This window comes from Homo sapiens, chromosome 13 (genome assembly GCF_000001405.40).
Source record: "Homo sapiens chromosome 13, GRCh38.p14 Primary Assembly".
NCBI classification, from domain to species: Eukaryota; Metazoa; Chordata; class Mammalia; order Primates; family Hominidae; genus Homo; species Homo sapiens.
This window is the reverse complement of record NC_000013.11, coordinates 27,212,139-27,228,388: the sequence shown is the minus strand read 5'-3', so window position 1 is coordinate 27,228,388 and position 16,250 is coordinate 27,212,139. Positions and strand designations below refer to the sequence as shown.

The 16,250-nt window shown below is 44.0% G+C and overlaps 1 long non-coding RNA gene across 1 annotated transcript; it reads right to left on the bottom strand.

Annotated features, from left to right (window-relative positions):
* Positions 1-7,934: 7,934 nt before the first annotated feature.
* Positions 7,935-15,689, bottom strand: LOC124903137 (uncharacterized). The gene is made up of 2 exons (XR_007063732.1): positions 15,186-15,689; positions 7,935-9,042 (listed from the first exon to the last, which is right to left on the bottom strand). It is a non-coding gene; the product is annotated as an uncharacterized LOC124903137 (long non-coding RNA).
* Between the last annotated feature and the right edge of the window lie 561 nt (positions 15,690-16,250).

The window sequence follows — 16,250 nt, the reverse complement described above, 5'->3', positions numbered from 1 at the left end:
AAAACAAAATGTACTGTATAATTCTATTTATATGACATATCTAGAATAGGTAACCATATAAGGACAGGAAGTATGGTTGCCTAAATGTGAGGTGAGGGGGGAGTAAGGACTGACAGCTACTGGGCACAAAGTTTATTGTGGGGATGATGGAAATGGTCTAAAATTAGATTGTTGTGATGGATACACAACTTTGTGAACATAGCAAAAACCATTGAAATGGGTTAATTTTATGGCATGTAAATTATGTCTCAATAAATCTATTTAAAACAGATAAACACTGGCTCTTGTCCTGGGAGGGCTGTGCTCTGAATGACAGCAGGACATAGCAGTGAGGTAACAATATGCCCACTGGGACCTTGGAAGCAGAGTGTTATGATAGTAGGGTAGTGGATTTCAGCATTGCCGTTTTTTATTTTCCCTCAAATGTTTTAATTCATTTTTGTGAAAAGCATGGAAGAGGTATTACAAATTTTTTAGCAGTACCTCTCATCCACATTTCAAAAAAAAGTCCTATTCTAGAATTTTGAATGGGTGGCATTTTATGTTAATGACCAAAGAATTTGTCTTTAACCTCTGTTGGCAGAATTTCAGGATTTTGTTACAAGGGGTCACAAGGTGTTGGGGAAAGGACTTTGGCTTACAGGTCTGGAGACTGTCATCAGCCAAGTGGCTGGCTGTGGGCAAATCTGCATTTCTCCACTATGCTCCAGCCTTTTTAGGGGAGCTTTGTGGATTTGGCTCACCAAGGTTCCTTTATCATCTACACTTATATGCAATAGGTAGCATTGTTTCTGTTCTCAACAGCTGAGGTAGCTATTAATTCTAGAAGGAGGTTAGAGCCAGTGTAAATTTCTGGTGGGAGTGGGGTCCTGCATGCAACCTTCCTCCGGGTGCTCTTCCTTCCTGGGTGCATCCACCCTCCTAGGGTGCATCTGGAAAAATGCTCCAACCTTTCAAGGTTTGGGGCTTTCCTCTGTGAAACTTAGCAATCTTCCTTTTAAAATTTTTAAAAATTTCTGTTGACTTTTTATTTTGAGATAATTATAGATTCACAGGAAGCTGCAAAAATAGAACAAAGAGGTATTTTGTGCCCTTCAACCAGTTTCCCCCTGTGGTTACTTTTTACCTACCTACAGCACAATATCAAAATCAGAAAACTGACTTTGGTACAACATATGTGGATAGTTCTATGCCATTGTATCACATGCGGAGGTTCCTGCACGAGTGCACACCACTACTTCATGACACAGAACTATTCCAACACCTGACAGCTCCCTTGTGTTACCCTTTTCAGTTACACCACCCCTTTCTTTCACCATACCTGGCAACTACTAATCTTTCATCTCTGTAATGTGTGATAGTGAGAATGTTAAATAAGTGGAACTGTAGAGTACATCAGCTTTTTTTTCCTTTTTTTTTTTTTTTTTTTTTTACTCATATGATGCCCTTGAGATCCACCTAAGTTGTGTTTATCAACAGTTTGGTTTCCTTTCATTGCTTGGTAGTATTCCATGGTTTGGATGTGCCAGTTTAACCATTTACACATTGAAAGACATTTTGATTGTTTACACTTTGGGGCTATTTTATCAGCATTACCCTTATGAAAGTAGGAAAGCTTTAACTAATGCTCTTGGAACCCAGGACACAAAAATGAGAAACTACTAACTACAAAAGGAGAGGTAAACCCTGTTCTAATTGAATGAGAAAGGAGCTATTCGGGTTGACAAGTTTCTGGGAGAAAATTAAGCTCTCAAGTTCAAGAACCTCAGGTTCCTTCATGCCTTCCTCAGTAGTATGCACCCTCTTCTCCGTCATCATTCACCATTCAAACAAGAAATAAGACAATTTTTTTAAAAATTGTGAGGTCCTGGTGAAGTGTGGTGGCTCATGCCTGTAATCCCAACACTTTCAGGCGGGCGGATCACCTAAGGTCAGGAGTTCGAGACCAGCCTGACCAACATGGTGAAACCACGTCTCTACTAAAAATACAAAAAGTAGCCACACATGGTGGCAGGCACCTGTAATTCCAGCTACTTGGGAAGCTGAGGCAGGAGAATTGCTTGAACCTGGGAGGTGGAGGTTGCAGTGAGCTGAGATCACACCACTGCACTCCAGCTTGGGCAACAGAGCGAGTCTCTGTCTCAAAAAAAAGAAAAAAGGGCCGAGCACATTGGCTTATGCCTATGATCCCAGCAGTTTGGGAGGCCAAGGTGGGTGGATTGCCTGAGGTCAGGAGTTTGAGACCAGCCTGGCCAACATGGTGAAACCCTGTCTCTACTAAAAATACAAAAATTAGCTGGGCGTGGTAGCGCATGCCTGTAATCCCAGCTGCTCAGGAGGCTGAGGCAGGAGAATCGCTTGAACCTGGGAGGCAGAGGTTGCAGTGAGCTGAGATCATGCCACTGCACTCCAGCCTGGGCCACAAGAGTGAAACTCCGTCTCAAAAAAAAAAAAAATTGTAAGGTCCTTTTCTTATATAAAAAAAGTTCTGTGTGTAACATATTCATTCATCCATTTCTTATTAAGTGATTCATTGTGTGCCTCTATGATACTGGGACCTGCTCTTAAGATGGGAACAAGTCCATGCCTTTGGGGAAATTATATAATCTCTAGGGAGACAGACGCTAAACTAAGAAGATTATTTTAAAAGAATTTCATATGTGGTATGAAGGACCAGCTGAGGCTACCAGAACATCAACAACATGATCTTTAATCTGAAAGATCAGGACAAATTATCCAGGGTAGGAGGCATAAAACCATAGGAGTGAGTGAGAGAACAGCACAGGGGCATAAGATTCAACACATTTTGAATCATTACCTGAATTATGACTACATACCCTTGGAAAGTACTCGTTTTATCAGAAGATACAAAATTGTGAACAAGTTATTTATACAGACCAATGATATATGGTGTAGGAAAAAGATGTACAAATTTCTATAATGCACTGGCAGATTTTTAAAAAGAATTTTTTTTTCTTGAGAGGGAGCCTCGCTCTGCCACCCAGGCTGAAGGGCAGTGGTGCGATCTCCGCTCACTGCAACCTCCACCTCCTGGGATCAAGCGATTCTCCTGCCTCAGCCTCCTAAGTGGCATTACAGGTGACCGCCACCATGCCTGGCTAATTTTTGTATTTTTAGTAGAGACGGGGTTTCACCCTGTTGCCCGGGCTGGTCAGAATTTTCTGTATAAACAATAAAAGTTGACTTTTCAGTTTTAGTAATAAAAATATTTTCTAATTTGTTAATCATTTTTTATCCTTATTTTTGGTATGTTTAACAAAATTTTAAGTGTGGGCCTATTCTTATTGTGTGTGTGTATGTTTATGTTTAGAGTGAAATACAGGACTGCAAATTAAAGGAAATGTATTTTCCTGTTCAACATAGAGCACACTATACTTCCTTAGGCACTTTCTACACAAAGTAGGTACCAACTAGAATTTTGTGTGATGGTTGAATAAATGTATATCTTACAAAAGTACTAATCTTGGAGTCCTACATAAGTTGGTGAATTCCCTGCCTTGTTTTTTCATTTTTAATTGAGGTAAAATTAACATAACTTAAAATTTAGTGTAGAAATCTAGCCAGGTATGGCGGCCCTTGCATGTAGTCTCAGCTACTTCAGAGCCCAGAGTTAAAAGTTACGGTGCACTGTGGGAGATTCGTCAGGGTGGTGGGAGAAATTATAGGAAAAGATGCAAGCCTTCTTGGAAGGCCAGGAGGTTTTGCAAAAGCTTCGAAAGAGGATTTGGCTGAAGGCAGGCAAATTATCTTATCCAGAGCCTGAGAGCAAAGGTTAGATAACAAGGGGATGTAAAGAAATTAATCTAGGTAAATTAGTTTGCTTCGGGACCTGGCCTTTAATCCGCAGGATTGCTTTTTGGGGCGGGGTGGGGGTGGGATGGGGTGGTGACCATATTAATTACCCACAAAGTGTGTTGACTCAAGGCCTTTGTTATTAAATCTGTACTGAATAAATGCCTGCAGCGCAGGCTTGTCAGGGCTGCGGCTGCTACAACCCTTTAGGACACCCTCCTCGGGGTCTGTGAGCGGCCTGGTCCCCTAGCCCGCTCTTTCACTGGATACCTACACCTGAGTACTCCTTTCATCCATCGCTGGGCCAGACCCAGCAGTGCACTCCAGTCTGGGCAACAGAGCAAGACCCTATCTCTAAAACAACCACAACAAAACCCATTTTAAGTGTACAATTCAGTGGGTTTTAGTCCATTTGCAATGTTGTGCAACCATCACTATCTAGTTCCAGAACATTTGCATCACCACAAAAGGAAATCTTTTACCCAATAAGCAGTCATTCTATATTGTTCCCATGACCCAGACCCTGGAAACCACTAATAGGGGATTTGCTTATTCCGGATGTTTCATATAAATGAAATTTATATAGCCTGTTGTGTCTGTCTTTCATGCAGCATAAATTTTAAAACTTCATCCATGTTATAGCATGTATCAGTACTTCAGGGTTTTGGGGTTGTTTTTAGTTAAAGAGCATATTTACCTTTGTAAATTTACCTTATTTCCAGACACATTCATTTTTAATAAGCTTACAAAAAGTCAAATATCTAAATAAGCATTTTATTCTTACAAGTTGTTGTTTTCTAAAGTTATACACTTATTCTAATAACATTGCCATTTCTTGAAATGTTTTTGAGGTTTTTTCCAAAAGAATTCTAATTTTTTGGGGGAAAATTTAAAAGATTTTTTTTAATTATGGCAAAATTTATATAACATAAAATTTACCATGTTAACCATTTTTTAGTGTACAGCTCAATGGCATTAAGTACATTCATATTGTTATGCAACCATCACCACCATGCATCTCCAGAACTTTTTCATTTTCCCAAACTGAAATTATAACTTTTAAGCAATTAACTTCCCCATTACTCCCCTCCTGCCAGCCCCTGGCAACCACCATTCTATTTCTCGTCTCTATGCATTTAACTACTCTAGGTACTTTATGTAAGTGGAACAACAGAATTTTTGTCCTTTTGTTTCAGGCTTATTTGACTTAGCATAATGTTTTCAGGGCTACCTGTGTCTCTCAGAATTTCAGTTCTTTGTTTTAACTTTAGGTTCAGGGGTATATGTGCAGGTTTGCTATATAGGTACACTGTGTTTCACAGGGGCTTGGTGTACAGATAATTTAATCACCCAGGTAATAAACATAGCTACCCGATAGGTATATCTTCTGATCCTTTCCCTCCTTTTACCCTTCACCCTCAAAAAGGCCCCAATGTCTGTTGTTCCCCTTCTAGTATCTGTGTGCTCGTTGTTTAGCTCCCACTTAGAAATGAGAACTTGCAGTATTTGGCTTTCTGTTCCTGTGTTACTTAGCTTAGGATAATGACCTCCAGCTGTATCCATGTTGCTGCAAAGGACATGATCTCATTCTTTTTTATTGCTGCATAGTATTCTATGGTGTATATGTACTACATTTTAAAAATCCAGTCTATCATTGATGGGCATGTAGGTTGATTCCATGTCTTTGCTATTGTGAATAGTGCTGCAGTGAAATGCACGTGCATGTATCTTTATGGGAGAGCAATGCATATTCCTTTGTGTATATACCTAATAATGGGATTGCTGCATCAAATGGTAATTCTGTTTTATATTTTTCAAGCAATCTACACTGCTTTCCACAATGTCTGAACTAATTTACACTCCCACCAGCAGTGTATAAGTGTTCCCTTTTCTCTGCAACCTTGCCAGCATCTGTTATTTTTAGACTTTCTTTTTCTTTTCTTTTCTTTTCCTTTTTCTTTTTTTTTTGAGACAGAGTCTGCCTCTGTTGCCCAGGCTGGAGTGCAATAGTGTGATCGCAGCTCACTGCAACCTCTGCCTCCTGGGTTCAAGCGATTCTCATGCCTCAGCCTGCTGAGTAGCTGATATTACAGGTGTGTGTCACTTTGCCTAGCTAATTTTTGTATTTTTAGCAGAGACAGGGTTTCACCATGTTGGTCAGGCTGTTCTCGAACTCCTGACCTCAAGCAATCCACCCACCTTGACCTCCCACAGTGCTGGGATTACAGGCATGAGCACTGCGTCTGGCTTTTTTTGCTTTTTAATGATAGCCATTCTGACTGGTGTGAGATGGTCTCTCATTGTGGTTTTGATTTGCATTTCTCTAATGATTAGTGACATGGAACATTTCTTTATATACTTGTTGGCCACATGTATGTCTTCCTTTAAAAAGTGTCTGTTCATGTCCTTTGCTGACTTTTTAGTGGGGTTGGTTTTTTTTTGCTTGTACATTTGTTTAAGTCCCTTATAGATTCTGTGTATTAGACCTTTGTTGGATGCATAGTTTGCAAATGTTTTTTTTCCATTCTATAGGTTGTCTGTCTACTCTTTTGATAGTTTCTTTTGTTGTGCAGAAGCTCTTTAGTTAGTTAGTTAGTTCGTTAGTTAGTTATTTAGTTAGTTAGTTTATTTTTGAGACAGAGTTTCGCTCTTGTTGCCCAGGCTGGAGTGCAATGGCATGATCTCGGCTCATCAAAACCTCCGCCTCCCGAGTTCAAGCAATTCTTCTGCCTCAGCCTCCCAAGTAGCTGGGATTACAAGCGCCCACCATGCCCAGCTAATTTGTTTTTTTTTTTAATTTTTAGTAGAGATGGGGTTTCACCACGTTGGCCAGGCTGATCTAGAATTCCTGACATCAGGTGATCCACCTGCCTCGGCCTCCCAAATTGCTGGGATTACAGGCATGAGCCACCGCACCTGGCCTAGTTTAATTATTAATAGGTCCCATTTGTCATTTTTTGTTTTTGTTGCAATTGCTTTTGGCATTTTTGTTGTGAAATCTTTGCCAAGTCCTATGTCCAGAATGGTACTTCCTAAATTATCTTCCAGGGTTTTTATAGTTTTAGGTTTTACATTTAAGACTTTAATTCCTCTTGAGTTGATTTTTTTATGTGGTGTAAGGTAGGGGTCCAGTTTCAATCCTCTGCGTATAACTAGGCGGTTATCCCAGCACCATTTATTGAATGAAAGTCTGTTCACTATTGTTTGTTTTGTCAGCTTTGTCAAAGGTCAATTGTTGTAGGTGTATGGCATTATTTCTGGGCTCTCTTCTGTTCCATTGGTTTATGTGTCTGTTTTTGTACTAGTACCATGCTGTTTTGGTTACTGTAGCCTTGTAGTATAGTCTGAAGTTGGGTAGTGTGATGCCTCTGGCTTTGTTCTTTTTGCTTAAGATTGTCTTGGCTACGTGGGCTCTTTTTTGGTTCCATATGAATTTTAAAATAGTTTTTTTTTCTAATTCTGTGAAGAATGTCATTAGTAGTTTGATAGGAATAGCATTGAATCTGTAAGTTGCTTTGGATAGTATAGCCATTTTCATGCTATACTATCCATGAGCATGGAATATTTTTCCATTTGTTCATGTCATTTCTGATTTTGTTGAGCAGTGTTTTGTAATTCTCATTGTAGAGATCTTTCACCTCCCTGGTTAGCTGTATTCCTAGGTATCTAGGTATTTTTGAATTTTAATCCTTTTCTTTTTTTTTTTTTTTTTTGAGACAGGATCTGGCTCTGTCACCCAGGCTGGAGTGCAGTGGTGCTGTGTCCGGAATTGGTGGGTTCTTGGTCTCACTGACTTCAAGAATGAAGCCACGGACCCTTGCCATGAGTGTTACTGTTCTTAAAGATGGTGTGTCTGGAGTTTGTTCCTTCAGATGTTCAGATGTGTCTGGAGTTTTTTCCTTCTGGTGGGTTCGTGGTCTTGCTGACTTCAGGAGTGAAGCTGCAGACCTTCGCGGTGAGTGTTACAGTTCATAAAGGTGGCGGTCCAGAGTTGTTCGTTCCTCCCATCCAGAGTTGTTCGTCCCCCCTGGTGGGTTTATGGTCTCACTGGCTTCAGGAGTGAAGCTGCAGACCTTCACAGTGAGTGTTACAGCTCATAAAGGTGGCATGGACCCAAAGAGTGAGCAGCAGCAAGATTTATTGCAAAGAGCGACAGAACAAAGCTTCCATAGCATGGAAGGGCACCCAAGCGGGTTGCCACTGCTGGCTCGGGTGGCCTGCTTTTATTCCCTTATCTGGCCCCACCCACATCCTACTGATTGGTTCATTTTACAGAGAGGTGATTGGCCCGTTTTACAGAGAGCTGATTGGTCCGTTATGACAGAGTGCTGATTGGTGCATTTACAAACCTTTAGCTAGACACAGAGCACTGATTGGTGCATTTACAATCCTTTAGCTAGACACAAAAGTTCTCCAAGTCCCCTACCCGATTAGCTAGACACAGTGCACTGAGTGGTGCATTTACAAACCTTTAGCTAGACACAGAATGCTGATTGGTGCATTTACAAACCTTTAGCTAGACAAAGAGTACTGATCAGTGTGTTTACAAACCTTTAGCTTGACAGAAAAATTCTCCAGGTCCCCACCCGACCCAGAAGCCCAGCCGGCTTCACCTCTCAATGGCACTTGCCACGGGACTTTGCAGCACCTAGCCCAGGCACTCCGGCAGCCCAGAGGGAGCTCATACCCCAATCAAGCCCAGCAAGTGCCGGCCGGCCGTGCAGAGTGCGGGGCCCTCCGAGCCTGCGCCCACCTGGAACCCATGCCACCTGCGAGTGCTGCATGCAGCCCCGGCTCTTGCCCGCACCTCTCCCTCCACACCTCCCCACAAGCAGAGAGAGCTGGCTCCGGCCTCAGCCAGCCCCAGAGAGGGGCCCCCACAGCACAGCGGCAGGTTGAAGGGTTCCTCAAGCGTGGCCAGAGCAGATGCTGAGGCCGAGGAGGCACCGAGAGCGAGCAAGGGCTGCTAGCACGTTGTCACCTCTCAATCCCCCCTCTAAACAGGACACCCCAACTGCTGTTGGGAATTTGGCTGATGACCACTGTAGCTACTTCCTGCTGGATAGGGGCGAAGAAGCGGCCCTGCAGTTGTAGTCTCCTCCAGAAGGGAACTCTTTAGGCTAGTGGAAGGGCCCAGCAGGTCAGTCCAGGGGTCCTTGGTAGAAGCTGTTAATTGAGCTCATTTGGGGTTCCATTTGTAAGACCATCTGTAGCTTGATGGCCTCGATTCTAGAGGAAACAAATTTGACAAGTAGGTTAAAAATACAGAGTCCAAAGGTGAGTAACAGCAAGATGGCTGCCACGGGACCTAGAAAGGGGAGAAGCCATGTTGCTCAACTCCAGAGGTTGTTATAAGAGTTTGAAAGGCATTGTCTGATTTCAGAAGCCTTTTTCTGTAAACACTGGATGGCATCTCATACTATCCCTGACTGGCTAGTGTAAAAACAACACTCTTCCCCTAAGAAGCTGCAGAGTTCTCCTTTCTCAGCAGTGAGGAGGTCTAGGCCTCAGTGGTTTTGGAGAGTCACTGCTGCTAAAGAGTCTATTTGGGATTGTAGAGTAAGGATAGATTTCGTCACTTCCTGCAAACTGTCTGAGAAATTCTTTGAGAGTGTGTGGCAGTAAGATAATGCATGTTACACTGTTAACTTTTAGCAAACTTTACTTTAGTTGAAAACCTTGTAAGTTTGGGATTTTAATTTTTCTTTGCTATTAATAAAACCTTGTTCAGTCCATATTAACTTAGAATTGGTATAGATGTCTCCCTCCTGATTCTGTAAGTACTTTAAGATTTGGCTGAGTGCAAACAACTCGCACATTTGAGCAGACCAATTATTAGGCAATTTTCCTAACTCTGCTTCTATAAGAATTTCCTTATCACTTACTGAATGCCCATTGTGTCTTTTTCCATAATCGCTCAGGAGGAACCATCTATCATCCTCTCCTGAAGGGAGTTCCTACTAGGTCTGGTCAGACCTTCAAATTTAGATCCCCTGTTAGGAAACCTGCTGGGTTAAGGATATTTGATAGGAAGGCTACGGGTTGTCAGTGGCCTCAGTGCTTTTTGGCTATGCCCTTGTTTGCGCTGACAACAAAGTGGTATTGGAGTGTTATAGGGTCATGGAGAAGACCTTCAATTATCAATTATAGGTTTTAAATTTATCCTGGCTTTTAAAGGAATAGGGTACACTGTTTTTTCTTTACTACTTCCATCTCTCTTTCTCTTTGACTCCTTTGTCTCTCTCTTTCTGACTCCCTCTTTGTCTGTCTCTTCCTCTCTTTCTCCTTCTTTGACTTTTGTCTCTCTGTTTCTGTCTCTCTGTCTCTTCCTCTCTGTCTCCTTCTTTTTGTCTGTTTCTTCCTCTCTTTCTTTTTCTCTGACTTCCTATCTCTTTCTCTCTTTCCTTTCTGCTGGTCTTTCCCTGTCTCTGCTAGCTGCTTATGCTACTGTTCTCCCCTCTCCTTCCCCTTTTTGATGGCTTCAGCAGTGTAAGACTGCCACCTCCTTGGGTTTTTGCACTGTGTGCAATAACTCCATAATTTCCTTGTGGTATTTAACAGGGGTTCCCCCAGAGGTTAGGAACTCCCTTTCTTTCCATATTGCAGCATGGGCATGTAGGATTAGATAAGCATACTTGCTATCTGTATACACATTTTTTCTTTTTCCCTTTCCCAGTTCTAAGGCTCGGGTAAGTGCCACTAGTTCTGCTAACTCGGTGCTGGTCCCTGGGGGAAGAGGCTTACTTTCAAGTACAGTTACATCACTAACTATGGCATAACCTTCCCTTCATATCCCATTCTCCACAAATGAACTTCCATCGGTATATAGGTTAAGGTCAGGATTAGCTAAGGGGATGTCTCAGAGATCATCTCGGGTGGCATAAGTCTCGACTGTAATTTGTTGGCAGTCATGCTCGATTGGTTCCCCATCCTCTGGGAGAAAAGTGGCAGGGTTGAGGGCCATGCATGTACATATTTGAAGCACCAGTCCCTCAAGGAGTAGCGCCTGATATCTAAGTAAGTGATGTCTGATAGCCATAAACTTCTTTTGGCACCTAGTGTGCCATTTACATCATGAGTAGTCCAGACAGTGAGATCCTTTCCTTGTATTATTTTGATAGCCTCGACACTAAGACCGCCACTGCCGCAACTGTCTGTAAACAGTGAGGCCAGCCTTTTGCTACTACATCAGTTTCCTTACTTAGGTATGCCATTGGTTGTGAGGTTGTCCCACGAGTCTGAGTAAGGACTCCAAGAGCTATCCCTGCTCTCTCTGTGATGTATAAAGAGAAGTTTTGTCCTGTGGGAAAGCTTAAACCTGGAGCATGTATTAGGGCCTGCTTTAAGGTTTTGAAGGCTGTTTCTGCCTCTGGTTCCCATTCTACTAGATGAGTATTTGCTCTCTGGGTCTCCTTGATTAGAGGATAGAGGGGCCTGGCTATCTTGCTGTATCTGGGGATCCATAGTCGGCAAAAGCCAGTGATTCCAAGGAACCCCCGCAACTGTTTTAATGTCTTAGGGTGAGGATAAGCCAGTATAGGCTGTATTCGTTCCTTGCTGAGGGCCCTGGTCCCTTTGGCAAAGATTAGGCCTAGATATTTGATCTGATGTAGGCAAAGCTTGGCCTTTGACCTAGACACCTTGTACCCTTGATCAGCTAAAAAGTTCAAGAGATCTACAGTAGCCTGCTGGCACAAGGCTTCCGAACTGGTAGCCAAAAGTAAGTCATCCACATACTGAAGGACCAGAGTGCCTGGACTTGAGAAGTGACCAAGATCTTGGGCCAGGGCCTGACCAAACAGGTGAGGGCTATCCCTAAACCGTTGGGGCAAGACCATCCACGTAAGTTGGACGTGTGGTCTGTGGGATCCTCAAAGGCAAAGAGAAACTGGGAGTCAGAGTGCAGGGGAATACAGAAGAAGGCATCCTTGAGGTCCAAAACAGTGAACCATTCTGCTTCCTCTGGTATTTGAGAGAGCAATGTATAGGGGTTGGGTACAACTGGATATAGAGGAATTACTGCCTCATTGATGAGTCTAAGATCTTGCATTAGTCTCCACTGACCGTTCAGTTTTTGTGCTCCTAGAATTGGGGTGTTGCAGGGACTGCTGCATTTCCTTACTAAGCCTTGAGCTTTTAAATGTTTAACAATATCCTGTAATCCTTTATGAACTTCAGGCCTTAAGGGATATTGCCTTTGATAAGGAAAGTGGTGGGGTCTTTTAGCCTGATTTGGACTGGGTGGGCATTTTTTGCCTTTCCAAATTGTCCTTCCAATGCCCAGACTTCAGGGTTGATTCCCTCCTCAAGTAGGGGACAACAAATGGGTAACTTCTTCCCCATATTCATGTAGATAATAGCTCCAGCCTTGGCTAATATATCCCTCCCTAATAAGGGTGTGGGACTTTCAGGCATAACAAGAAAGTCATGTGAAAAGAGCAAAGTCTCCCAATTACAACTGAGGAGGTGGAAGAAATACCTGGTTACAGGCTGTCCCAGGATTCCTTGGATGGTAATGGACCTTGAGGACAGTCGTCCAGGACAGGAGATTAACACTGAGAAGGTCGCACCAGTATCCGGGAGGAAGTCAATTTCCTGACCCTCAATGGTTAAACATACCCAGGGCTCAATGAGGTTGATGACATGAGCTGGCGCTTGCCCCAGGCACCCTCAGTCCTGTTGTTGGATCATTTGGTTGGGGGCTTCTGACTCAGAGAATCTTTGTCCTCTGGGGCAGTGCACCTTCCAGCGATTGCCTGGGCATAGTGGACATGGACGAGGGGGCAGCTTGTTTCTCATTGGACAATCTTTTTCAAAGTGTCCTTGCAAACCACACTGGTAACAGGCCCTACAGGGTGATTGGCCTGCTCCATTTTCTGTCCTCTCTGAACTACCAAGGTTTGTCTGTCTGAGGGCCATGACTAAGGCTGTGGCCTTTCCCTGATCTTGCTTTTCCTTTTGGGCCTGTTCCTCTTTGTCCCTATTATAGAACACTGAGGTTGCCAGGTTTAATAATGCCTCCAAATTTTGCTCAGGGCCCAGGGCTTGCTTTTGGAGCTTTCTCCTCATATCTGTGGCTGATTGGGTAATAAACTTATCTTTTAGAATCAATTGACCCTCGAGTGATTCAAGTGACAGGGAGTATATTTCCTTAAGGCCTCCCGTAGCTGCTCGAGGAAGGCAGAAGGATTTTCTTCCTTTCCCTGAGTTATGGTGGACATCATTGAATAATTCATGGGCCTTTTTCCTAATTCTCCTTAGTCCTTCTAGAACACAGGTCAACAGATGTTTATGACTCCAGTCCCCATGATCTGAGTCAAGGCCCCAGTGGGAATACATACGGGGGACGGCTTGCTGACCGGTAGGGAATTTATCCCTCTCTTTGGCTATCATTCTATCATTTACTTGACTAAGATACCAGGTATCTCCAAACTCTCGGGCTGCAGCTAAAGCCACATTCTTTTCATTAAAGGCCAGGGTTTGATCTAATAGTAGCATGACATCTCTCCAAGCAAGGTTGAAGGTTTGCCCTAGACCCTGTAGGACATCTATGTACCTATCAGGATCTTCTGAAAACTTCCCAAGGTCTGCCTTGATCTGCTTTAAATCATAGAGGGAGAAGGGGACATGTACCTAGGTTGGGCCAAATTCCCCTCCCCCTACAGCTTGAAGGGGACATAACCAATAGCCTAGGGGTTTTTGTGGTCCTTTGGAGATTTCTTTGCTTATTTCCTTCTTGGTAGGGGAGATTAGAGGAGGATTATCATTAATGGGAAGGGGAGCTATAGGGAGGCTAGGATATGGGGGTAAGCTGAGAGGTCCTCCTGTGGGATGTAAATTGCAGGCTTTGCATAGTTGTGTATTCTCCTTCAGTGAAAAGAAAGCTTGGACATAGGCATTTCACTCCATTTGCCTTCCCTTTTAGAGAAAAGGTCAAGCTGCAGGATAGTATTGTAATTTATACTTCCCTCAGGTGGCCATTTTTCCCCATCAGAGAGAGAATATTGGGGCCAGGCCATAGTGCAGAAAAAATTAGCCACCTCTTTTTCAGGGTTTGTGGGTCAAATTGGTCCCAATGATTTAGGATGCATTTCAAGGGTGAGCCTGTTGATACCTGAGTGTTTCTCATCTGAAAGACAAAACTGCCCATGGTTTTGTTTTGTTTTGTTTTGTTTTGTTCTGTTCTGTTCTGTTTCTCCCCCTGCCCAAGAACCCGCAATGGTCTTTGGACCCTGCTGACTGGAATAGTTGCGCTCACCAATGCAGCAGCAAAAACAACCCCTGCCCAAGAACCCACAACAGTCCCTGGACCCTGCTGATCAGAATAGTTGTGCTCACCAACGCAGCAGCAGAAACACTAGTTTTCCTCCCAGACCACAAGGAGGACTGAGAAAGGTCGGATTTAGTGGCCCTTACTGATGCATTCTCAAAAACCTGTACCCTTGCCTGTCCTCCTAGACCACAAGGAGGACTGAGAAAAATCGGATTTAATGGCCCTGACTGATGCATTCTTCAAAACTTTTTAGAGTCCTAAGCATTCTCATGTTAGTATTGGGACCTTACCCATGTCCTATAGAGATGTCATGCCCCAAAAATGAAGTGGAGGCCCATACCCTGAGGGAGGGAAGGGATCTCCAGAGTTGGAAGAGTGACACCTTTTGTCCTCACTTATATGAATAGGAAGGATACAATTTCTGAGGCTTCCCATATCCTAGCTTCAGGAATAGCTTTTGTTAGGCCTGCTAGTCTGAGGAGGGATCCTAAAATTCCAGGTAGTCCCCCCATGATGGGGCTTTGGGCAAAAATTATGTCTTTCTGATTGGTGACCCCAGGTGCTGAAAGAAGGTAACAGAGTCCTGGAGTTTATACTAGAAATCATTCTTATAAGAGAAACTAGAAAAGCACCAGAGACAGGGAGTGACTTTTAGAAGCGGGACTAGCTTCGGAGAAGAGAGGCAAGAGGAAGTTTGTCTAGCAGGCATTAGGACCCAGGAGGCAAGGGTCAGGGTAGATAGAATAGATGGGCGAGTCTCGCTTGGGTGACATGACTTGAGAGTTCCGCTCATGGCTACAGGGTCAACCAGCTTGCTGTTGGGACCCCAGAGCTGAATGGCTTTCCTCTCTGTCAACCCTCAGCTCAGCCCAGAAGTACAGGAAAAGTGGAAGCTGGTTCCAGGCAAACCAATGCTCCCAACTCCGAAGAGTCAGGGGTTGTTAGAGAGCCCTTTCCCAGAAAGCCTGACACCCGTGTCTTTAGTCCGGCAGCCGCGCTAGTCGCTATTAACTAGCCAACAGGTGCCCGTTATTTAGCCCCCAAATTCTAAGGAATAATAGGACAGAATAGCAAGTGAAAGGGGTTCAATAGTACTCACCGCTTGGCGATAGGCAGTGGTCTCACTGCTTGGTGATAGTCTTACTGCTTGGTGATAGGCGATAGTCCCTTCGTGGTCACCAAAATGTGTCCGGAATTACTGGGTTCTTGGTCTCGCTGACTTCAAGAATGAAGCCGTGGACCCTCGCAGTGAGTGTTACAGTTCTTAAAGATGGTGTGTCCAGAGTTTGTTCCTTCATATGTTCAGATGTGTCCAGAGTTTCTTCCTTCTGGTGGGTTCGTGGTCTCGCTGACTTCAGGAATTAAGCTGCAGACCTTTGCGGTGAGTGTTACAGCTCTTAAAGGCGGTGCGTTTGGGGTTGTTTGTTCCTTCCGGTGAGTTTGTGGTCTTGCTGGCCTCAGGAGTGAAGCTGCAGACCTTCGTGGTGAGTGTTATAGCTCATAAAGGTGGTGCAGAGCCAAAGAGTGAGCAGCAGCAAGATTTATTGTGAAGAGTGAAAGAACAAAGCTTCCACAACATGGAAGGGGACCCAAGCGGCTTGCCGCTGCTGGCTTGGGTAGCCTGCTTTTTATTCCCTTATCTGGTCCCACCCACATCCTACTGATTGGTTCATTTTACAGAGAGCTGACTGGTCCATTTTACAGAGAGCTGATTGGTCTGTTTTACAGAGAGCTGATTGGTCCGTTTTGACAGAAGGCTGATTGCTGCATTTACAAACCTTTAGCTAGACACAAAAGTTCTCCAAGTCCCCTACCCAATTAGCTAGACGCAGAGTGCTGAGTGGTGCATTTACAAACCTTTAGCTAGACACAGTGCTGATTGGTGTGTTTTTACAAACCTTTAGCTAGACAGAAAAGTTCTCCAGGTCCCCACCCAACCCAGAAGCCCAGCCGGGTTCACCTCTCAGTGGCACTTCCCATGGGACTTTGCGGCACCTAGCCCAGGCATTCCGGCAGCCCAGAGGGAGCTCGTCCCAGATGAAGCCCAGTAGGTGCCGGCCACTAGGAGTGCAGGGCCCGCCAAGCCCATGCCCACCCAGAACCTGCGCCTGCAGCCCTGGCTCCCACCCACGCCTCTCCCTGAAATCTCCCCAGGAGCAGAGGG